Source organism: Homo sapiens, chromosome 21 (genome assembly GCF_000001405.40).
Source record: "Homo sapiens chromosome 21, GRCh38.p14 Primary Assembly".
Classification (NCBI taxonomy): Eukaryota; Metazoa; Chordata; class Mammalia; order Primates; family Hominidae; genus Homo; species Homo sapiens.
In genome coordinates this window covers 25,632,460-25,656,538 of record NC_000021.9, presented here as the reverse complement: position 1 = coordinate 25,656,538, position 24,079 = coordinate 25,632,460, and the positions used below count along the sequence as shown (strand labels likewise).

At 40.3% G+C, this 24,079-nt stretch overlaps 1 protein-coding gene, 1 long non-coding RNA gene and 1 pseudogene across 5 annotated transcripts in view, besides 4 other annotated features; 1 reads left to right on the top strand and 2 right to left on the bottom strand.

Annotated features, from left to right (window-relative positions):
* JAM2 (junctional adhesion molecule 2) overlaps window positions 1–17,281 on the bottom strand; it is a 78,305-nt gene extending 61,024 nt beyond the window's left edge. For all 4 annotated transcript variants that reach the window (NR_072999.2, NM_021219.4, NM_001270407.2 and 1 more), the window contains exon 1: window positions 16,651–17,281. Coding sequence is in view for 3 of the 4 variants with exons in the window: in NM_021219.4 (NP_067042.1) it covers window positions 16,651–16,717 (67 nt within the window). In the remaining variant the exon portion in view is untranslated. The remainder of the gene's footprint in view (window positions 1–16,650) is intronic.
* Window positions 1,902–13,691, top strand: LOC124905001 (uncharacterized). The gene is made up of 2 exons (XR_007067826.1): window positions 1,902–4,437; window positions 9,407–13,691. It is a non-coding gene; the product is annotated as an uncharacterized LOC124905001 (long non-coding RNA).
* RNGTTP1 (RNA guanylyltransferase and 5'-phosphatase pseudogene 1) lies at window positions 12,320–12,994 on the bottom strand (annotated as a pseudogene).
* Window positions 16,271–16,771: an enhancer, noted in NCBI's record as "H3K4me1 hESC enhancer chr21:27012080-27012580 (GRCh37/hg19 assembly coordinates)". NCBI's record gives its function as "activates a minimal SCP1, AML or CMV promoter by ChIP-STARR-seq in primed H9 embryonic stem cells {active_cell/tissue: H9 hESC(primed)}" and the evidence as "EXISTENCE:reporter gene assay evidence [ECO:0000049][PMID:30033119]".
* Window positions 16,299–16,368: an enhancer, noted in NCBI's record as "active region_18316". NCBI's record gives its function as "activates an Ori minimal core promoter by ATAC-STARR-seq in GM12878 lymphoblastoid cells {active_cell/tissue: GM12878}" and the evidence as "EXISTENCE:reporter gene assay evidence [ECO:0000049][PMID:35858748]".
* Window positions 17,099–17,288: a silencer, noted in NCBI's record as "silent region_13231". NCBI's record gives its function as "represses an Ori minimal core promoter by ATAC-STARR-seq in GM12878 lymphoblastoid cells {active_cell/tissue: GM12878}" and the evidence as "EXISTENCE:reporter gene assay evidence [ECO:0000049][PMID:35858748]".
* Window positions 17,509–17,648: an enhancer, noted in NCBI's record as "active region_18315". NCBI's record gives its function as "activates an Ori minimal core promoter by ATAC-STARR-seq in GM12878 lymphoblastoid cells {active_cell/tissue: GM12878}" and the evidence as "EXISTENCE:reporter gene assay evidence [ECO:0000049][PMID:35858748]".

The following is a 24,079-nucleotide window of genomic DNA, read 5'->3' as shown; positions in this document are numbered from 1 at the left end:
TCTTCCATTCTTTTCCCATAACCGGCATCTTCTCTAGAGAATCCTTATAGATTTGGGGTCTTCAAGGCTAAAGGAACTATGAGAAATTAAATCATATGAAGAACTCACAGGAAGCTTGATACTAAGTTATTAATGACAAGAACTTTAACATTAAATGAATATTTTAGAAACTACGGCCAATTTTGAAATGTGCTTGAGTTGATGTGTCAAATGTAAGATATCTGCAGGTATTCTCTTTACTTGTTTAGAAGGAGCCTGGGGGTGGACAAGAGGACCTTGATGGAACCAGTCTCCACTAAACAAATGCAAGACAAACATTTTAAATTTTTAGGAATTTAATCAACTCTTTTTTTATATTCACTTTTTCTTGCCATCAGTCTATGAATGTGGCATGCATTCATCTGATGAGTATTTTAACATTTTAGGGAATAAAATATTAAAGTCCCTTTCAAAAGAAATTCACTGAAAGGTCCACGCTACATCATTAAAAAAAAAATGTAGCTCCTATGCAGTGGATTTACTAACAGACTTTGCTGTATAACCCAGGATCTTGCAGTTCTAGCTGATGACAGGGTTGAATTGGTTTTCTTTTCTCTTTTTTTAAAAGGCATTAAAAAAAAAAAACTATTAGTGGGAAATAGACTAAATAAATAGCTTTTTAAAAGGGACTATTCAAACATAATTTGCATTTCTTATACTGACTACCCTGGTTAAGGCACAGGATTTAAGAGAGCTGGTGTTTCGACTGGGCACGGTGGCTCACACCTGTAATCCCAGCAATTTGGGAGGCCAAGGCAGGCGGATCACCTGAGGTCAAGAGTTCGAGACCAGCCTGGCCAACAGGGTGAAACCCCGTCTCTACTAAAAAAAAAAAAAAAAAAAAAAAAAAAATTAGCTGGGCGTAGTGGCAGACGCCTAGAATCCCAGCTACTCGGGAGGCTGAGGGAGGAGAATCGCTTGAGCCCGGGAAGCAGAGATTGCACTGAGCTGAGATGGCGCCACTGCACTCCAGCCTGTGTGACAGAGTGAGACTCCGTCTCAAAAAAAAAAAAAAAGAGCTGATGTTTCAAATATTTCAAGTAAATTCACTTTGTTCTATTTATTTTCTCTTTAAACCTATAGGGTGAAAAGTGGAGCATACAAAAAAGACCAGAGGGCTTCAAGGACAAAAAAAAAAAAAAAAAAAAATAGAATTTCAGTATATTTATCATGTTACTATCTTTTTTCTATTTTATGGATTTAAATAGTTTTTTATTAAGAAAATTTTCAAATATATACAAAAATAGAGACAATAAACAATAAACACCATATAGTCATCATCCAGATTAAAGTTATAAAGATTTTATCATGTTTACTACATTTACTTTATTGAAGAATATTAAAGCAAATCATATATATCAAATAATTGTCTTTATTACTTTAGCAAGCACCACTAAAGATTAAAGACATATAACTATAACACCATTTGAACAACTAACAAAAATAATTCCTTGTTATAATTTAATATCTAGCCACATTTCCCTGATGTCTTATTTGAATCTGGATACACACTACATGTCAGCATCACATTTGCTTCTTAGGCCTTTAGATGCATGTGTTTCATCTAGCACCGACCTGCTCTTTCCTCTCTCCCCCTTTGTTTTTACCTTTCATGCCACTGACTTGTTGCAGAAACCTGGTCAGTTATTCTGCAGAAAAACCCACTTTCTGAGTTCATGCACGTGCTACCTTGTGGTGTCATTTAATTTGTGCATCTATCCTTCTGTAATGAAAGTTCGCTTGCTGAGAGGCTTCATTCAAGTGAAGGTCATTTTCTTTTTTTGGAGGGATGGGCAAGAATATTACACAGGGAGTGCTATGTGCTTCCAATTTTTTTTTTTTTTTTTTTTTTGAGAGAAAGTCTCACTCTGTTGCCCAGGCTAGAGTGCAGTGGTACAGTCTTGGCTCACTGCAACCTCTGCCTCCCAGGTTCAAGCGATTCTTGTGTCTCAGCCTCCCAAGTAGTTGAGATTACAGGCACGAGCCACCACACCTGGCGAATTTTTGTATTTTTAGTAGAGAGGGGGTTTCACCATGTTGGCCAGGCTGGTCTCAACTCCTGACCTCAAGTAATCCACCCATCTCAGCCTCCCAAAGTGCTGGGATTACAGGCGTGAGCCACAGCACCTGCCCTGGTTGTCCTACTTTCAATGATGCTAAGATTAATCAGTGTTTCAGGTGATAACAGACTGATCCTTCCATTGTAAAGCTCCAATCAACATTTTGTCTAATGATTTTAGCCATTAATAATCATACCCTAAGTCAATTACATGCTGCAAATGATGATTAGATTCTATTATTTTTTCATTATCTATTTTCTTTGACATTCATTAGCTTGAATTCTATAAAGAAGAACTTTTCCTTCTAAGTTAAGGCTATGTGGTTACACATACATGCCTAAAAGAAAGCAGAATAAAGATAAGTATTTATTTTGATTGCCAAATATCAGGGTAAGGAGTAACTGACCTAGTTAATTCTAATGGTGACCAAAGTGTGATGACTTTTAAACATTTTATTGATTTTCTTTTTTGTATCTTTATAATTAATGCATTTTGAAATAAATTCAACACATTTAAATCAATTGCATTCAGTATATGTTTTCTCTTTTGACTCTCATCTTGCCTCCAGTTTGGCTAAAGAAAGACTTTTTAGGTTAATTCCTTTGTCCTTTGGGCACAATCTCATTAGTCTTTGATAGCTACCTTGCTTTCTAAGTGATATGGTTAGGCTTTGTGTCCCTACCCAAATCTCATCTTGAATTGTAATCCCCATAATCCCCATCATCCCCACGTGTAAAGGGAGAGACGAGATAGAGGTAACAATCATGGTGGCAGTTTCTCTCATGCTGTTCTCATGATAGTGAGTTCTCACAAGATCTGATGGTTTTATAAAGAGCTCTTCCCCCTTCACTTGGCATTGTCCTTCTTGCCACCACTTTGTGAAGAAGGTGCCTTGCTTCCCCTTTGCCTTCTACCATGATTTTAAGTTTTCTGAGGCCTCCCCAGCCACACTGAACTGTGAGTCAATTAAACCTCTTTTCTTCATAAATTACCCAGTTTCTGGCAGTTCCTTATAGCAGTGTGAAAACAGACTAATACACCAGGGCAACAAACCGTCCCAGGCTCATCTTAAATTGCCTAACCTTAAAACTGGAGTCAGGTGTCCCTCCAAAGTTTCCTAGTCATTGTTAGTGTGGAATGGTATTTAGGGATTATAGTCTATATGCTAAGTATGCTCATTTTCAAGGGGTTGTAGAATAGTTTATATTATTATCCTCAACTCCTAACTCCCTTCTCATTTATTATTGTATGATTTCTAGGGCCTCCCAGCAGGCAGAACACAATTCTCCATCCCAGTTCCACGTTTGGCCACGTGATGTGCTTTGACCAATGGGCACATATCATGTTAAGTAGAAGCTTTTAGAGCTGTTAAGGACAGAGCTAAGCTTTGTCCTTTGCTTTTCCCTAGGCCACAAGGACAGTCTGTTCCAAACAGGGTCAATTGCTTCAGCTTGAGTCCTGGAAAAAGAAGATTGTAGAGAAAAGACTCAGCAGCTGATCTGGAGCCACCAAAATGGAATACAAGCCAAATATATAATGCATATGGTGGCAAACTACTGAGGTTTTTAAGGTTATCTGTTACTTCTTCAAAGCTGATTGATACAGGCTGTGATGTCTTCTGGGCCTTTTTAGTAGACAGATAGGAAAAGCAGCTTTGAAAAGAGGAAAGCATTGTGAGTTCAAACTCAATTCAAATAGAACATTTCCAAATCAGATAGAACATTATAGGACCTGTACTTAATTTTTAAAAACTTTATACATATATCTCTTTTTTCTACACTAAAAATCTTAATTTCTATTTACATTAGTATAATTACTGATTTGTATTTCCTATAATATAACATAGTGTCAAAATAACAAAATCATTATTTTAAAGTACTAAAGTTTAAAACATATTTGTAGCTATTTTTGTCCTTAAGATATATTCTACTGTTTGGTGGAATATTATGTTTTTAGGTTCAGATTGAAATAATTATTTCCTTTATGTGGTTATATCACTAATTTGATATACAGTAGGTTCATTTCCTTATTTCTTTTTTTTTCTTTTAGAGACAGCATCTTTCTCTGTCACCCACGCTAGAGTGCAGTAGCACAATCACAGCTCACCACAGCCTCGATCTCCCAGGACCAAGCAAACCTCCCACCTCAGCCTCGTGAGTAGCTGAGACTACAGGCATGCCACCATGCCCAGCTAATTTTTATTTATTTTTCTTTTTTGTAGAGGCGTGGCCTTCCTATATGGCCTAGGCTGGTCTTGAACTCCTGGTCTTAAGCAATCTTCCTGCCTGGGCCTCCCAAAGTATGGGGATTACAAGTGTAAACCACCATGCCCAGCTCAGTAAGTTCATTTATTTCCATTTGTTTTCCATTTTTAGGGAAGGCTATTTTAGTGAATTTTATCTTTTGAAATAAAACATTTAAAATTTCAAAATGAAATCTATGTAATAAGCTATACATAGTAAGAGAAGTCTGTTCCATTCCTGTTCTACCTATTGTTAATAGTTTCATTAGTTAACAGTTTAACCTGCCAGTGTTTCTGTCATACACAAAATGTAGCATGTTGCACTAGATTGTTCTGCATCTTACTTTTTTCACTTACTATATTTTGGAGATGACAGTACAGAGAGATCACCATCATTCCTTTATATCGCTACAGTGCCTACCATTGTGTTATTTATTTAGCCAATCCCCTATAAATGGGCATTTGTTTTCAATCATTTTTATAATAGTTGTGAAATAAATAATACAATGCATAAAAAAGAAATAACACCATGCATAAAGCATGTCCTGTTTTTGCAACTACAGCTTTAACACAGGTTCCCAGTAACGGGGTTGATGGGTCAAAGGGCAAATATAGAATTTTTCTACATATTGCTGAATATGATGGGTCAAAGGCTAGATGTAGAATTTTTCTACATATTGCTGCTCCATAGCAGTTGTATCATCTCACAGCTCCATCAGCAGTATGTAGAATGCCTATTTCCATACAACTTCAATAACAGAGTATGTGGATGAGTTTATGTGATTTTGCTAAGGGAAGAAGTGCTATCTTTGGGACAATCTAATTTGCATTTTAAGTTATACTGAGAAAAGCTTCATATTTGAAGAACCATTTAAATTTTTCTTCTGGGAACTCTGGGTTTTTTGTGTGCCATTTATAAAATTTTGATATTTGTATTTTAATTTTTAGGGGTTCCTTTTATATCAGTGATAATACTCTGTCAGAGATGTAACTTACAAATATCCTTTCCCAATTAGTCATTTATCTTTGGATTTGTTTAGGGTGTTTTATTTTTTCCATGCAGACACTCATTTGATTTATAGTCCAGTTTACAGAAGAACAGATCCATACTTTGTTTTTTTTTTTTTTTTTTTTTTGGCGGGGGGAGGTATGGTTTTATTTATTTATTTACCTATTTACATTTAGATCTCTGATCCATTTGAAATTAATTCTCATGGAGAATATCAGGTTCTGATCCATTTTTCCCTCAAATGGTTCCCAGTTGTAACAATATTGATTAAGCATTCTCCATGGTTTCAAATGCTACCATTTTACACACACATACACACATACACGTGATTTCTAAATGAAGTTGGCATAATTTCCGGACTTTATATACTCTTCCATTGGCTTGTCTGTCTATTCATGTACCAATCTCACATTATTTTACTTATAGAGGCTTTATAGAACACTATAATATAGGGCTATAACCACTTCATTTCTGCCCCGTTAGTGTATTATTAATTCTCCATTGTCTCATTCATTTGATATTTATTCTATGTATTATATGTTTTATGATTAATATGTTGATACAGAAATACATATTACAATTTATTAAAACACACGTCAGGACATATCCTCTTTTAAGAAATGAAGTAGGATATGTAATATAAAAAAGTTTGAAGATCACTGATTCAGTGTTTTTTGAACATGCCAGCATCTTTAGATAGCTGTCCTGGGTGGCAGTAGCACAATGGAGCTGAGATTCTTACATGTATCTGATTTTGGCATTTGCCTAATGCTGAATGAGATTCTTGGCAGAGACAATGACTCACCTGGATCCAGGGGTAATTTTTTAAGTGCTAATGAGCAAGTGTCAAGATCCCACAAAATCATTAAAAGTAACGGCTAAAACTGCAGTTACTTTTGCACCAACCTATAAAAATACTGGACAAGAACACCTAGGAAAATCATCTTTGATTTGGAAATGAAGATCACTTTATCAGGCTCTACAATGGTTTAAATGTGTTCCTCAGAATTCATGTATAGGAAATTGAGTTCCCAGTATAATGGTGTTGAGAGGTGGTAGGACCTTTAAGAGGTGTTTGGGTCATGAAGACTCTGCCACCCTCACGAAGATATTAGTCCCATTCTCATAGGACTGGGTTAATTCTCACAGAAGCAAATGAGTTCTTGTTCTCATGGGACTAGATTAGTAACTGCAAGAGCAGGTTGTTAAAAAATGAGGCCATCACTTGTGTTTTGTCTCTTTTGCACATACTTGCTTGCTGCTCCTGCAGGTGTTTCCACATGTGATGCCATTCACTATGCTTTAATGTAGCATGAGGGCCTTGCCAGAGGTAGCTGCCCAATGTTGAACTTCCCAGGCTCCAGAACTGGGAGCCAAGTAAACCTCTTTTGTTTATAAATTACCCAGTCTCAGGTGTTCTGTTACAGCAACAGAAATAGACTAAAACAGTCTCTATTGTCTCATCTCTCTTAATAAACTTTTGCTCATTATGGGATATAGATTGCTATTATATCAATTGAGTAACAAAGAGATTAGGCCATGAGGGGAAAGTCTGGAGATTCCCTGCTCCAGAGAGTAGAACTTTTACAACTAACATGCTAATACGGTTTGGTTGTGTCGCCACCCAAATCTCATCTTGAATTGTAGTTCCCATAATCCCCACATGTTGTGGGAGAGACACGGTGGCAGGTAATTGAATCATGGAAGTGGTTACCTCCATGCTTTCTTTTCTCATGATAGTGAATGAGCTCTTATGAGATCTGATGATTTTATAAAGGGCTTTCCCCGCTTTTGCTCGGCACTTCTGCTTCCGGCCATCAAGTAAAGAAGAATGTGTTTGCTTCCCCTTCTGCCATGATTGTAAGTTTCCTGAGGCCTCCCCAGCCATGCGAAACTGAGAGTCAATTAAACCTCTTTCCTTTGTAAATTACCCAGTCTTGGGCAGTCCTTTACAGCAGCGTGAGAACACACTAATACGTGCTTTGTTCTAGTCTAGATTAAGCAACTTTTGAGGGGTGTATTGTTTGACTCATCTGAGTTTTTAATCAATGCTTACTAATTCAAGAGGAACTTATGTGCTTTTAGGATATAAGGAGGCATCAGGAAATCTGGAAAATTTCTTAAAATCCTATAAGGCAGACCAGTCTTTATATTTCCTTATATCTTAGGGAGGCCACTGTTAAAAAGAGGAGGAGGGAGTTTTAGGAGCAGTAATATTATGCATTCATTTGAGACTATTAATTTTACATATGTCTTGAGGTTTTTATTGCTAAAAAGTTATATAATTTTATGAAGCTACAAAACAAATAAACATTAAATTCCAGCTTATGTAATTCTACTTAATCAAGTATTAAATGTGCCAGGCAGTACTCTAGGTACCAACGACCTAAAGATGTGTTGTCTCTGCCTCCAGCAAGCTCACAATACAGAGAGATATACATGGAAAAATTGTAACAGTACAGCTCAGTAAGTGCCATAAGAGAATAAAGAATATACCAAAAGCACCAGAGTATAATATACAGTAGACATCAGCTTTGAGGAATTGATGAGTTGGAAAGAATTAAGAGAAGGCGCAAGGAATTTTGGAGTTAGACCTTCAGGGAGAAATTGCATTTGGCCATATGAGGAACAATAGCAACAACAACAGAGATGAATGGAGGTTGGGAAGAAGTACTGTATCTAGATAAAATGGCATAGATGTTCACTCGTTTACACACACACACACACACACACACACAAACACACGGCACAAAAGAACCTGACTTGTTCTGGATCCAAAAGCACTATATGGACAGTACAATAATCTCATGTCTCCAATATGCTTAGGTACAATTTTAATGTTTTATGACATAGATGGCTGCATGTTTCAGTTATTGGACAAATGCATACTTGAGTTATTGTTTATTCCATTGTGTCAGTTCTGCTTCTGATCAAAATCCATTCCTATTTGAAAATGCATCTAGTGAATTTTTTTTTTTGAGACAGAATCTTGCTGTGTTGCCCAGGCTGGAGTGCAGTGGCACAATCTCAGCTCATTGCAACCTCCGCCTCCCACGTTCAAGTGATTCTCATGCCTCAGCCTCCTGAGTAGCTGGGACTACAGGTGCATGCCACCATGCCCAGCTACTTTTTGTACTTTTAGTAGATACAGGGTTTCACCACGTTGGCTAGGCTGGTTTCAAACTCCTGACCTCAGGTGATCCACCCGTCTTGGCCTCCCAAAGTGCTGGGATTACAGGCGTGAGTCACAGCGCCCAGCCCTCTAGTGCATTTTTTAAAAAACATAAACACCATTCTCTCTTTTCAAATTTAGCACTTGCCCAGAAGTTTGACATGTTCCCTTTTTATTTGTGGTCATTATTTCCTCTTTGGTCTCCTTTAAAAATAGCACCCCTTTGCACTTGTCTGTGAATCTTAGCTGGTGCTAGTGTCTCTGTCCTCTCTGGGTGCACACACGTTCTCCTTTGGACTTTTTAACTGGATCTTGCTTGGAATTTTTCCCTTTCCATATTTGGTTACTGGTTTGGAAGTTTATTTCCCTTTGTTTTACTAATCATTTTGTTCCATTATTTTTGGTGGTTCTAGTTAGAAAATAGCTCCCACTGCATTTTGGTGCAACAATTTTAAAGGCCTCTATAAGATGTTATCTTCTGTCCTGCTTGTAGACTGAGCTTTAGGTTGTACCTTAATTACTAACATAAATAACTTTTTGGAGCAAGGTGCACAACACTATATATAATATGATTTGATTTTCTGGAAGGTATACAGCAGTAAGCATAATAAATTGTGATCTTTATTTCTAAAGAAATTATAAGAGTATGCTTATATATACTGGAACTATTTCTTTTCTAATTTCCTGAAACCATTTGCAGGAAACTTAAGGATGGTCTATCTGAGAAGCAAAGGAGTCAGGAAGGCTGGAAAGGAGACTTATTTCTTGTTTTGTAAACTTACTGCTCTGTTTGAATTTACCCTAAGCATATATTATTTTTAGTTAGACATATAAGAAAATGTGTTTAACAATTCATTCATTTTTATCTTTGGTTTTGTCCATAGTATGTATTTAGGAAGTTTCACAATGTGAAGAAAGCGAAGAGTAAAAACAGCAGGTGACTGCATTGACAAAATGAAAGCAAGCAAATTGGACAAACCTAGCATAAAGAAGACAGACCAGGTTATGCATTTTTACTCCTTACAAATATAAAGACAAGCCCGTCCTAAATTATCCCAGTAGAAAATTTTGACAACTACAACAAAACAGAAAACCCAACAAAACAAATAAAAATTTGATGCTGATGACATGCGATAAAGAAAAGCAGAGCTCTCCAGTAAAAACCAAAATTCCTGTCTGTTAAGTTTACAAGGATTCTTCCTTAGGACTTTCTGAGCCAAGACAATGGACAGCTAAGAGGGCAGCTCTTGAAATACTTTCACAGGATTTGCTTCTCTGCTCATAAAATGTAGGAACAATTCAAACTGGAGAGCATTTCCTACCCATTCACTGGCCTGAAGATTCATAGAGTAGGGTTTTGTGTTGCTGTCAGCAGGCATTTATCTGAGCACACATCCATCCATCCTCCCTCTCTCTCTCTCTCTCCTTCTCTCTCTCTCTCTTTCCCCCCACACCCGATGCATGCATACACTCACACACTTTGGAACTTAGAAGGCCACTCTTCTGAATATCAAATCAAGTAAAATGACCATTCTAAGGGTGACAACTCAGGGAAACTCTGGAAACACTGGAAACAAATACTGAAAATAAACTTACGTGTGGGAGAGAGAATAACATTGAAAGAAGGTATACATAGTAACCAAAAGAGCTACTGTTTCATGTTTATAGGTTGGGAACTGAACAGAAAGTTGAAAACACAGCACACATGATTAAAAAATTTTTTCCTTAAAAACCAAAGAGCCATTTTTCTTAAATTCCTGATCAGATTTAATTAACTACATTTCAAATGCAGTCATGCACTGCATAATGACATTTTGGTCAACAATGAACCATATCAGTGGTCCCACAGATTATAATGGAGCTGAAAAATTCTTATCATCTAGTGATGCTATAACGCCCGTACTGCTGTAACACAAGAACTTTATTGTTTTATAAATTTAGTGTAGCCTAAGTGTACAGTGTTGATAAAGTCTACAGTAGTATACAGTAATGTCCCAGGCCTTCACATTCACTCACCACTCACTCACTGACTCACTCAGAGCAACTTCTAGTCCTGCAAGCTCCACTCATGATATGTTTCTACACAGGTGTACCATTTATCTTTTGTGCTGTTTTTACTGTACCTTTTCCATGTTTAGATATGTTTAGGTACACAAATACTTACAACTGTTTACCGTTGCCTACAGTATCCAGTACAGTAACATGCTGTATAGGTTTGTAGCCTAGGAGCAATAGGCTACACCATATAGCCTTGGTGTGCAGCAGGCTCTACCATCTAGGTTTCTGTAAGTACACTCTATGATCACACAATAACAAAATCACCTAACGACACATTTCTCAGAACACATCGCATCATTAGGTGACAACTGTAAAAAGCAATTGTCAGTGGTTATATGTGTATGTGTAATTATGTGAGTATATTTATCAATAAACTATATAAAATAAGTACTTACACAAGCAATTGCCTGGACTACTCCAATAACTTCTAACTGGTCTCCCCAGTTTGACTCCCCCCACCCCAATCCTTCCATTCACCATACTCCATCCAATGCATTCTCTTTAAAATGCAAATCAAACTGATATTCAATGTCAAAAGGCTTCAATGGCTTCTTCAGTTTACTAAGTGTGTTATACATGTAATTCTCCCTAAACCTCTATGAGGTAAGCACTCTTATTGGGATTATCACCAACACTGATGAGTAAACTGACATAATACAGGTGTTAACCTGTATAAGATCACACAGCTGGTAAGAGCACAGAGTGCTGCATTGGAGTGCATGTTCTTTACCACCATACTATGCAATTTGAAATACAACTAATAAAAAATATAGCTTTAGGCCAGGCGCGGTGGCTCACGCCTGTAATCCCAGCACTTTGGGAAGCCAAGGCAGGCAGATCATCTGAGGTCAGGAGATCAAGACCAGCCTGGCCAACATGACGAAACCCAGTCTCTACTAAAAATACAAAAGTTAGGTGGGCGTGGTGGTGGGAGCCTATAATCCCAGCTACTCAGGAGGCTGAGGCAGGAGAATTGCTTGAAACCAGGAGGTGGAGGTTGTGGTGAGCTGAGATTGCGCCACTGCATTCCAGCTTGGGTGACAGAGCAAGATTCCATCTCAAATAAAACAAACAAACAAACAAACAAACAAAACCAAAAAACCAACCAGCTTTATATCACTATGAGTTATACTTTAAAGGTAAAAGTTATGGTGGCTTCATGGAATCTAGAATATTCTTGGCTACAGCACTGAAAACACTGTCGCTGTGCATAACCTCATTTTGGCTGCTGTGAGAAACAGAATAATAGCCCCACAAAGATGTCCACATCCTACTCCCCAGAACCTATAAATATCTTACTTTACATGGTAAATAGGAATTGCAGTTGTAGATGGATGAAAGTTGCTAACCAGCTGACTTTGAAATGGATAAATTATCCAGAGTTACTCAGGTAAGCCCAAGGTAATGACAAGGGTCCTGATGAGTGGAAGAAGGAAGCAGAAGAGAGAGAACAAGAGAGGTGGCAGCCTGGTGTCGCAGGGCCGTGAGTGGGGACAGGTGGCAGCCTGGCAGGACAGGGCCGTGAGTGGGGCGCCTCCAGAAGCTGGAAAAGCCATGGAAACAGATTCTGCCCTAGAACCTCCAGAAGGAATGCTTCATGCTGATACCTTGATTTTAGGCCAGTGAGACCTGTTTCAGACTTCTGACCTCTAGAAGTTTAAGACAATCAATTTGTATTGTTTTGTTTTTGGTCATGTGTTTCACAGAAATAGAAAAGTAATACAGTTGGGTTATTTTTTCTGAGTTCTAGCCTTGTTAACAGTAACACCGTCCAAGAAAACAATCCCTGGTTTTAAGTTTTATTTTGCTGCTTTTGCCAAAGGAGGCACCTGACCCAGGTTCTGATTCCCCTTTTCCATCTTCACCACCATCTTCCTCAAAACATCAGTCTAGCAAGAGGGGTATACTGGAGTATTGACTCAGCAGTGTTACTACTATATTGCTATGGGATGAAAAAATATTATTTTAAGAATGGCCTTTATAGCTTCCTGGTGGTCTGACTTCAATAAAGCTAGCAGCTCTTACCTCTATATTCCAATACATCTTCTCTATGAGGAAGGCCCACAGGAGGAAACCAATGCAATGGAAACCATGGGTGGTGAACATCCGTAAGCTCCTGTGGGCTCCTCTCATTAAACTGCTCATGTGGGAGGATAAATGAGTGTTTTCAGTCATAGGGAACTCACTGTGCTCAGGCTGAAGTTTTTGTTTTTGACTTCATTCTTTCTAATATAATTTCTTTCATAGTCTTGAAATGGTTGTTAAATCCACCTACAAGCCCATTTTAGCGTTTCTGTTCATCAGATAATTGAGACTGTGCCAGCACGGAACCACTTCTCTCCAGCAAATTGATTATGGCAGTTGCTTCTTAACAATAGATACAGAGGGCAGAATTTTCCTAGTACCGGTTCCCTGGAGTGCTGTTTTGGGTCAGTTCTGGCAAAAAGGCAGAACCTTGTGATTTTACAAAAGATTCAGACCTCTCTCCCCTACCACAATCTTTATCAGTTGATGAGAGATTAGACTCAGGCTAAGCGCCTGGATCAGGTTCCAGTCCAGATCTGAGGACCAGCTGCTACTGGTTAGGTGGAATCAGGAACTGATTCATGATCAGCTCCTTGGCTCTGAGAGACCCCAAAAGGCATGACAACACCCCACCAAACACGGAATACTCATTCCTATTATTTTTTGACATATCAGCTTAAATGATGCCTCAGAGAAATCTAACACTCCACCTACTTAACATGAAGTTAGAGCTTCATGATTTATATTGCAATCAGTTCAATCTATACACTTCTTTTACCTACCCTACCTCATCCCCATTCCATCTGCTGTGGTTTATGTCCCCCCACATTCATATGTTGAAATCTAATCACCAATGTGATGGTATTAGGAGTTGAAGGCTTTGGACCGTGATCTGGTCATGACAACAGTGCGCTTACAAAGAGACCTCAGAGCTGCCTTGCTTCTTCCGCCATGGGAGGTCACCCTGAGAAGGCTCCATCTATGAACCAGGAAGTGGGCCCTTGCCTGACACTGAATTTGCTGGTATCTTGATTGTGAACTTCTCAGCCTCCAGAGCTGTGAGAAATAAACGTTGTTTATAAGCTACTCCGTTTATGGTATTTTGTTACAGCAGCCTGAATGGACTAAGGCACCATAGAATCAACAGGCATATATTTATACCTACTATTAACCAGGAACTTTGCTCAGCACTGGACATATAGTGGTGAGCAAACATCAAGAAATTCCTTTCCTAATGGAGTGGGAAAGAAAAATGTAATTCAACTAAACACACACAAAAATATCCATATATCAACAGGGATACTGACATCATCGTTTAAATAACAAGAACAACAACAAAAAAGCAATCCTCCAGACTACTAAGAAAGATATAAAGAATGCTGATAAACAGCAGGATAAAAAGGAAAGAAGGGAGTAAGCATGATATTATAAATGATAGGAGTGGCCAAAAGAATGGCACAGTTACATCTGGGAAGAATATTAAAAAGATGAATATGTAATAACAGCATAAGAAATCCACTAAGTCTTTAATAAATAAAATAGTATTGGATTATAACCCAAAGTATAAAACAAATATTTATGAGCCCATACTGATAGAAAAATAAATGATTAAATAAATAAATGAAGGGAAGGGAGAGACCCATCTCCCATGCAGAAGAGCTCCAAATAATTTATGAAGATACTCCGCCTTCAAGGAGATGGAGCATAACTCTCCTTCCTGAAGAAGTGTGGGTTGCATGTAGTGACTTCCTTCCAAAAAAATCTAGTATGGAAATGAAGAAAAAAGGGTAGGTAATCTGTGGAGAAAACTGGTATGCACTACATTAGGAGTATGATTACAGGTGACCTAGGTTCACATCAACAGCAATAAGTCATGTGTACGGTATGTTCCCTGGAGATAATGTGATGAAAATGTCACTTTACCTAGGCCCCTTACCACTTTCTGATCTTCCTCCAAAAAACCTATAACCCCAGTCTAGTTATGAGAAAAATATCAGAGAAACAGCAATTCGCAGTCATTCTACCAGATACTTGACCAGAACTCCTCAAACCCATTATAGTAAGAGAAAGCAAGGGAAGCCTAAGAAACTGTTACAACCAAGAAGAACCTAAGGAATCAGGACAACTAAATGTAATATGGTAGCCTGGATGGCATCCTGGAATAGAAAAGGCATTAGGTAAGAATGAAGGAAATTTGAATAAAGTGTACCATACTAATGTAAGATATTAACAATGTGGGAAACTGGGTGTGGAGTATATGAGAACTCTCTATACTAGCGTTGGAATTTTTATTTAAATCCAAACTGTTCTAAAATTGTTTTAAACATAAAAAAAAAAACACCCACATACAAAGAAAACACTCTTGCAATGCCAGATCTTTTAGTATCCCAGGAACAATATAGAAAAGTCCCCACAACACTTCCAAATACATCCCCTATAGGAATCAAGTTTAGCAGAGACAATGTGTTATATTTACCTAAAGCTTGAAGAGGTCACTCAGCCCCATTCATTTATGCTTTTGTTCGCCTCTTGGTTGTTTCTCCACTACAATTTCAGACTTGGGGTGTATTGTTTCTATGTTGGTGATTCAATAGGAATAGCACAGCAGAACGATTTTCTGTTTTTAATTAGTGACAATTCTACACTAAAAGGCACACTCTTTTCTATTTGAAATTTAGAATTTCAGCAGAATACATAACTTTCTCAGTTGTTCTGTTAACGATTTCTCCAGCCTACCTCTCTGTTGCCTTTTAGCATGAGTGCATTTTTTTTCTTCTGTGTGTTCCATATGATACCAATTGATATTTCAGAATTGCACAAGGGTTTCATTGTGAAACTTTGGCTTTCTGGTTTGACTTTATATAATATTGGTCAGTACATGTCCCTTGCCTGAGACAATGTGCACCTTCCTCCTCCACAAAGGGACGTGGCTCACATCACTTGAGCTGTGCGATGATCACTTGGGCAGCGAGGGCGTGAGAAAATATCATTGTATTGTGGTATTAGACACTCGTCCCGCAGGTTAAGTATTATAAGTGTTACTTTACCAGAACGTGAATAGCAACAATAACTCATTTTACAAAAGAAAGAAAGAGAGACAGAAAGAAAGAGAGAGAGAAAGAAAGAAGAAAGAGAAAGGAAGGGAGGAAGGAAGGAAGGGAAAAAAGCAAAACAAAAAAGGTGAGAGAAAAAAGAAAAAGCAAAAGTAGAACTGCATTGCTTAGTCTATTGTAATTTCCTCCATTTTCCTAAAAAGTTAACGCGAAGAAAACAAAATAACGGCAACGTTCCCAGGATTTCAAATCTCATGAGTCCAGAATCCGTGAAAATCCTGTTTAAAATCATCCGGTGAAATTGGCTTTGGGACGTCTCCCCAGCTACTGGATCATGTGGCTTCTGAATCTTTCTAACAATCGTCCCGTTGGATGTCCCCTGAGGACAGAGCAGCTGGCTAGAGTCCCCAGACCAGACTTCTCTAAGTGAATGTAGATGTGCAGGTGGAGAGGATAAAAGTAATTCTGGCTCAGCAGCCACGAATTCCCTCCACCTCCGCCCCACAAGTGCGCTGCATATCGCCGGCTCAGCTGGGACGCTACAGAGCCCAGACCACGCGGACGCTGCCCCCTCCCCGGGGACTCAAAGTGTGGCCGGCGCCCGCCTCCCAGTGATGCCATCTTTCTTGGGGTCTTAGCATCTTACCAGTGGGTAGTGAGTTTTGCATTCGAATCACGTCCCTCTGTCTGAAAACTTACCCCAACTTTGCAAACAGATGAGAACCTGCTAGTGGGAACCCTTAATTTTCTGTATCTAGAACTGACAAAATCAGACGCAATTCACAAGAAACCCACGACCTCGCGCTCCCTTGCTCCCAGCGTCCGCTCGCGGGCACCCTGGGTTTCCCGCTCGCCTGGGCGCAAGGTCAGACGCCCCGCGGCGACCTCGGCCCAGAGCCGCCCAGACACTGTCAGCCAGCGCCCCGTGGGGGGCTGGAGGGTGGGGGCAGGCTGGTCCAGGCAGGAAGGGTAGAGGAACCCGAGCAACTTACAGCCCAGGGCGACCACCAGGTAGCGCAGCAGCAGCAGGAGGAGGCGGTGGCGGCTCCTCCTCGCCATCTTCCCGGGGCGGCAGCCGGCTGCTCTGAGGAGGTCGAGGGTCCCGGCGGCAGGAGCGCAGGAGGCCGGGGGCCCTTGAACTTCTGGGGCGGGAAAGGAGCAGAGAGTCGGGAGGGGAGGAAGAGGAGGGACGGCTCTAGATGGGATGTCAGTTTCCCCCTCCCCGGGGCGCCTTCTCAGCTGGCTGCCAAGAGGCGGGTCCTCCAGCCCAGGGATGGGGGTCTGTTCTGTTTTGGGGGTGTGGGGGTAGGGGCTAGAGGGCGTGAAAACCAGACGAGGCGTCCGCCGGGTCCTAGCGAGGGGGCAGCAGGAGGAGAGCAGCGCCCGGGAAAGCCCCGGCGGGTCGTCCCTCCGCCCCCACGCCTCCGGGATTGATCGGCTTTGTGTCTGGTCCGCGCGGGGCTGCCAGCTGTCCCCAGGGCGAGGAGCTGGGGGCGGGAGGCGCGGGCAGGCTGGGGGTGGGGGGATTGGGTGTCTCGGGGACGGGGATGTATGCGGGTAGGGAAACGCCTCCTGTTTTGCCCCAACTCCTTTCTTCCCCTCGTTGGCTCAAAACTTCTTTCTGGCTTTTCAGCCTAGGGGTGGAGATATTTGGAAAATTCTGCCCAACGGGCGAAGCTGAGGGGGTGGCGCTCTGAGGAGATGGGGTTCGCGGGCTCCGCCTCGAACTCGAGAAAAAAAAAAGCAATCAAGACTCGTGCTGGAAGTCAGGTCTCAGATTTTAGTACAGCCTTGGTCCCTTCTCAGTTTAAGCTTTTTGCTCCTTGGAGATTTGAGGTGCATTTGTCTCGCGTTCTTGTTCTTTGCTTTTTTTTCAGTGTCAGAGTTGGAAGTTCATCTAATGGTGTGAAATATTTATCATGTTTCTTTCAAGTTACATAACTGCTGCTTGTGGAGTTTTCCACGTGTTAAAACTCTACAGCTGCCCTTTGTCAGGTTTATTTTTGGTCTACTGTGCTTTTAAAAGGGAAACCCATTATGAATGCTCTGTTGCGTGCTTTAAAATTGCACCACACTTACATTGGACGCACGTACACTGGCAATTTTTATATTTGTTCCTAGGGACCAAAAATGTATGGTGTATTCAAGAGTATTGGCAGGTCTGGAAAAAGGCCATTCCCAGGAGAAGAAATTAGTATACATCAGTTTTTTTCTTTTGTTTTTTTGTTTGTTTTTGTTTTTGTTTTTTTTTAAAGGTTGAATAATGGATGAAGTTCTGTACAGCAGATAGTTGATTTAGTGGTGTATTTAAAAAGAATTCAGCTAGCTCAGTGGACAAAGGCGACCAGAGTTTAGCTGTGCAGAACTGTGAGGAATGAGGCATCCTTGCTGTTGCCGTGGTGACAGTGATGAAAACTTAGTACCCAGGGAGGGGGTGGGAGGAGAGGACCCAGGGGACCCAGAAAGGAAAGTCAAAATGGCAAAATGTTAAAACTCGTACTCCAGTCAACCGAGGAGAAGGGGCACAGATTTAACAACAGCTTATGCCAGTTTTTCTGGGCAGTAATGAGAAGGATTTGATGCTTAAAAAGAAAAGTTGTTGGCATCTTCTTTTTTCTAATTCTTGCTACAGCTATATGTCTTTTACTCCTCCCTAAAAATATACACAAAAATGTCATACTTAAAAAAATTCTATGCAATCCTATGTGAGTAACTGACTAAGTTATTTATTTGCCACCCAGCCAAGGCATTTGACAAATGGCAACAATGTGCTGGATGCTGAAGGACAACCATGAACAAGATAGAGGCTTTCTTGCTAACAAGCTCACAGTCTTGAGGGGAGACAGAGTCTTATCAGGAAAGATGCCTGATACCACATGGTAAATGTTACAGGAGGACAGAAAATAATAACAGCTATTTTTATTGCATGCTTTCTCAGTGATGGAGTCTGAATAACGCAATATCTAATCCCCCAACAACTCCATAAAAGAGGAAATGTTATCATTCCCACTTTGCAGATGAGAAAACTGGGCGGAGAGACACTAAATGGCTTGTCCAAGGTCCATGATAAGGGGCTGTTCCTTTTGTTGGGAGTGGGGCCAGGGCTTTCTTTATTAAACCTTGAAAAATGGGTCAAATTCTGAAGGGAAGGACATAAAGGAGAGGCATTCTACATAGAGGAAACAGCAGGATCCAGAGCTAGGAGATTGAAAAATTATGGTTTATTTAGAAAAAGCAAGGTTCTACAGTACTAAAGTGTATGTGGGATCGGGATAGTGAGGTAGGTGGTGGTGGTGGTAGAAACTGAAGGGGAGGTTAGAGTACGAAGAGCATTCACGCTACTGTCTAGACCTCATCCTACAGCTAATGAGCTTTTTGAAAGCAATGAGATAAGAAAAGACTCATATTTTAGAACTGTGGTGTCCAATATGGTAGCCTATAGATCTAAGTGGCTATATACATTTTTTTTGTTTTGTTTTTAATTTGAGACAGAGTCTCACTTTGTCACACAGGCTGGAGTACAGTGGTGCAATCTCAGCTCACTGCAACCTCCGCCTCCCAGGTTCAAGTGATTCTCCTGCCTCAGCCTCCTCAGTCCAGTAGATGGGACTACAGGCATGTGCCACCATGCAGGCTAATTTTTGTATTTTTTGTAGAGATGGGGTTTCGCCATGTTTGCCAGGCTGGTCTCGAACTTCTGACCTCAGATGATCCACACGCCTTGGCCTCCCAAAGTGCTGGAATTACAGGTGTGAGCCACCATGCCTGGCTGGCTATATAAATTTGAATTCAATTATATGTAAAATGCAGTTCTCCACTGACACTGATCACATATGAATTTCTCAATAGTCACATGAGGGTAGGGGCTACCATATTGGAAAATGTATTTCCATCATTGCAGGAAGTTCTACAAGAGAGTGCTGCTCTAGAATGATGACTCATATTGAAATGTGCAGGATGGATTACAGAAAAGAGAATCAGGGTGTTAGTCAAGTCTAAACTATTACAATATCCTGAGAAAGAGACCAAGTTGTGAAGTAAATGGTCACCGTGTGATAAATGAAAAACCGGGTGGATTCAGATGATATTTCACAAACATGGTCAACAGGATTATGTTATCAGCTAGATGTAGGGGTGAGAAAGGAGAGAACATGTAGGTATCAGATTTCTAGCATAGGTGGCTGTATGTGGAGGTTATAAATAGTGTCATTAAAGGAATAAGAAACATAGAGGGCATACATAATTCCTGCAGGTTTGGGATGAGTTGAGAGAGAGAAATATAGCTGGGGTGACCAGTAGACTGTTAGAATGAGTGCTCTAGAGAACAGGAAACCCTCAGGATTGACTAAAGAAATAAATATAAATATTAGCAGCATCTTCTAGAACAGTGATCACTGGACTATCTTCTCCCCAGAATCCTTTGGAGCTCCTTCATTATGATTCTTTCCTTAAAATTATGTTAAAATTCTGAGTTTCAGAAGTTTTAATCTCAGCAGCCCCAGGAAGCTGTATTATTAACAAGTACCTTGATTAATTCTGATGCAACGAATCTATGGATTATTGTTTGAGGAACTTTCTAGAAGGCAGGAGCAGTGAATGAGATCAATCAGACAAAGAAGTGAATGTTTATGGATAAATCTAAGGAAATAACTGCAGTAAGAGGTAGGAAGAGAAAGAACCCAGAGAAAGAACACAAGAAAGAGCAGTCAAAAAGTACAAAAGGAACTGGGAGAGAATCAGGAGCTAAAGGTGGAGGTGTTTGTACAGTCCAAGGCTAAAAAGAGGGTTGAGAATTGTCTCTTGTATTTAGTGTCTATGAGGGTATTGCCCACATGGATAATAGAGAAAGCAAGCCTCCAAAAAACATGTAGAAAAAATTTGCAGACTTGAGTTTTATACTTAGTAAAGCAACTAATGCATAAGATATATTAAAAATATTTAAAAATTTTTTTAATTATTATGGGTACATAATAGTTTTATATATTTATGGGGTACAGGTGATGATTTGATACAAGCATACAGTGTAGCAAGCAGGGTAATTGGAATATCCACGTCCTCAAGCATTTATCATTTCTTTGTGTTAGGAATATAACCACCCAATGGGTTCACCTTGCCCGATGCCCAGATAGAGCTGATTTATCAAGACAGGGCAATTGTAATGGTGAAAGAGTCATTCACGCAGAGCTGGCTGTGTGGAAGATGGAGTTTTATCATTACTCATATCAGTCTCTCTGCATTCAGGGATCAGAGTGTTTAAGGATAATTCTTGGTAGGTGAGGGAAAGACCAGTGGGTCGAGAGTGCTGATTGGTTGGGTTGGAGATGAAATCATAGGAAGTTGAAACTGTCCTCTGTGCTGAGTCAGTTCCGGGTGGGGGCCACAAGATCAGATGAGCCAGTTTCTCCGTCGGGGTGGCACCAGCTGATCCATCAAGTGCAGGGTCTGCGAAATATCTCAAACACTGATTTTAGGAGCAGTTTATGGAGGGTCAGGATCTTACAGCCTCCGCCTGAATGACTCTTAAACCATAATTTCTAATCTCGTGGCTAATTTGTTAGTCCTACAAAGGCAGTCTAGTCCCCAGGCAAGAAGGGGGTTTGTTTTGGGAAAACGTTGTCACCATCTTTGTGTCAAACTATAAACAATGAACTAAGTTCCTCCCAAAGTTAGTTCAGCCTACGCCCAGGAATAAACAAGATCAGCTTGGAGGTTAGAAGATGGAGTTGGTTAGGTCAGGTCTCTTTCACTGTCTCAGTTATAATTTTGCAATGGTGGTTTCAGGAACATTCCAAGAAAAAAACTATTCATGACGCTTGTTAAAGATGGTAAGGCAGACTTTATTCAAAGGGGAGGCCATGGAGATAGGTATGGGAACTACTGCAGCAGTGGGGGAGAAAAATTGGACTCAATTCCAACAACAAGGACAAGTGGACTTCTAACTCAGTAGCAGGGTTTGGGGGGGTGTCAGTGGACAAAAAAGTACTAAGAAGAAACATCAAGGATAAGGGGTTTCTAGCTAAACTGATTTGTTAGGGTTCTTGCTGAAGGCAGGCCAGGGTGACAAGATATCGAAGGTCAGATACTGGGTGGGGGGAATTTTCAATAAACTGACTTAGCAGGATTCTTGCTCAAACTGGATTCTACAAAGACAGAGAGGGAAGCCTAAGGTTGGATCTAGTCAAGAAAAGGACTCAGAGGGCCCTGACTAAAGTTTTGGTCAAAGGACAGTGTGTTTTTTTACATAAAAACAAATAATAAATTCCTAACTTAAAAAACATCAGCAAAAGGATGGTGAAAGAAATGGCGGCAGTTAATACTGCTTCATTAACAAGTGTTTGGGAACTGGTTTCGTTGTGGTTCTGCCTGTAGGAATCACTGCACCAGGGAGCATGGGGCAATTTGGGAGGAATGGGGAGGAAATACTGTCAGAGTTCCTCTAAGTTCTGTTCTCTTCTCCTTGAGCATAGTGCCTGCCCCCACCTGTCACAATCACTTTCACTCTGACTCTATAAGCAGTTTTGTCAGGTAAATATAAATGAGGACTTGGTGTTTTGGGACAGCTTACCATTTTTAATTCTTTCCACCCATTCTAATTCTGAATTCAAAGTAACACTAGGGTGTCGAGGCACATTTCCTAAAACAAGCAATGAAGGAAAGGGCTGGGTTTAAATGGAGTGACTTCTCACATCTCAGATTTGGTATTTCTGTGTTGGATGGTTTATTTTTCCCCATGGGTGTGGAGAAGGTGCTGGAAAGTGTGCCCACACTCTGAAATTTAGAGAAAAATATACTCCTATTTCCAGAACCACATACATTCCCAAGTGTCTCTCATGTAAGTTTAAGCTCTTATGGATAGAATGTAAGGTTTTTAACGGGTTCCCAATTACCTAACTTCTTTTATTCCTCACCATTATCTTCTCAGATCACTTTTTTTTTTTTTTTGAGACAGGGTCCCCCTCTGTCACCCAGGCTGAAGTGCAGTGGCACGATCTCAGCTCACTGCAACCTTCGCCTCCCAGGTTCAAGTGATTCTCCTGCCTCAGCCTCCTGAGTAGCTGAGATTACAGGCGCCCCCACAGCGCCCAGCTAATTTTTGTATTTTTAGTAGGGACGGGGTTTCACCATGTTGGCCAGGCTGGTCTGGAACTCCTGACCTCAAGTGATCCACCTACCTCAGCCTCCCAAAGTGCTGAGATTACAGGTGTGAGCCACCGTGCCCGGCCCAGATCACTTTTTGAAATAAGCCTGACTTCAACATTGTGTCCTGATGAGCCCACAAGCACATTCATGCTGTGCCCCTCCCACCCTCTTTTCTAGCCAAATAAACCTATTCAGGGAAGCCCACGGTGTCTCCAGCATGTAGCTTACCTTACTCTCCCAAAGTGACACCTTCCTTCAGGTATTTTATAACAATACAGTACTCAAAACGTACCTTCAAGAAACATTAACAACTCACTAGCCTCACCTGGTTTTAATTACTATAAGCAGGAACATTCTCTTTCAGGATTGTCTGCTTCTAAATTACATCATTAGATTAGTTTTGCCTGCCAATTAAAATCAGTAAAAAGCACTTATTAGTGGTTCTTTCTTTTATAGTGCTTTTTTTTTTCTTTTTTTTTTCGAGATAGAGTCTCGCTCTGTTGCCCAGGCTGGAGTGCAGTGGCACGATCTCGGCTCACTGCAACCTCCGCCTCCCGGGTTCAAGCGATTCTCCTGTCTCAGCCTCTGGAGTAGCTGGGATTATAGGCGTGCACCACCATGCTCGGCTAATTTTTGTATTTTTAATAGAGATGGGGTTTCTCCATGTTGGCCAGGCTGGTCTCGAACTCCTGACCTCAAGTGATTCGCCCAACTAGGCCTCCCAAAGTGCTGGGATTACAGGTGCTTCTTTCTTTTATAAAACATATTTATTATCAACTCAGTAGTTGGTGCTTTACTGAATGTTAATTAGCAATTTTATAAGAAATTAGGTGATATGAAAATGATTTTTAATGGAATTTTCTTGGGGGAGAAAATAACATTTAACAAACACTTGCCAGGATCAAACAAAGGATGGACAGGCATCCATTAGTCTACAAGCGTGAAATCCTAACAATGAAAACCTTTGGGGAGAATGTACAGATACTTTCCAACTTCACTCCCCACCATTTCTCCCTTATTCATTTCACAGTTAAGGAAAATGAGGCCCATAATGGTGAAATGGCTTATTCAAGATCATTCTCCAAGATAAGAAAAGAGCCATGCCTGGAATAAACACATTAGGTCTTTCCTGTGCAGTCTCCAAAACATGGGCAGGGAAAAGATTTGTCTTTCTGCATATAACATGACTTAAGTTATACTTTATTTCCCGCGAGAGTCCCTGCTTAGGACAGCTATGCTTAATATATGTCCTTAATTAAACAGCAAGTGGGAAGGGTAGGA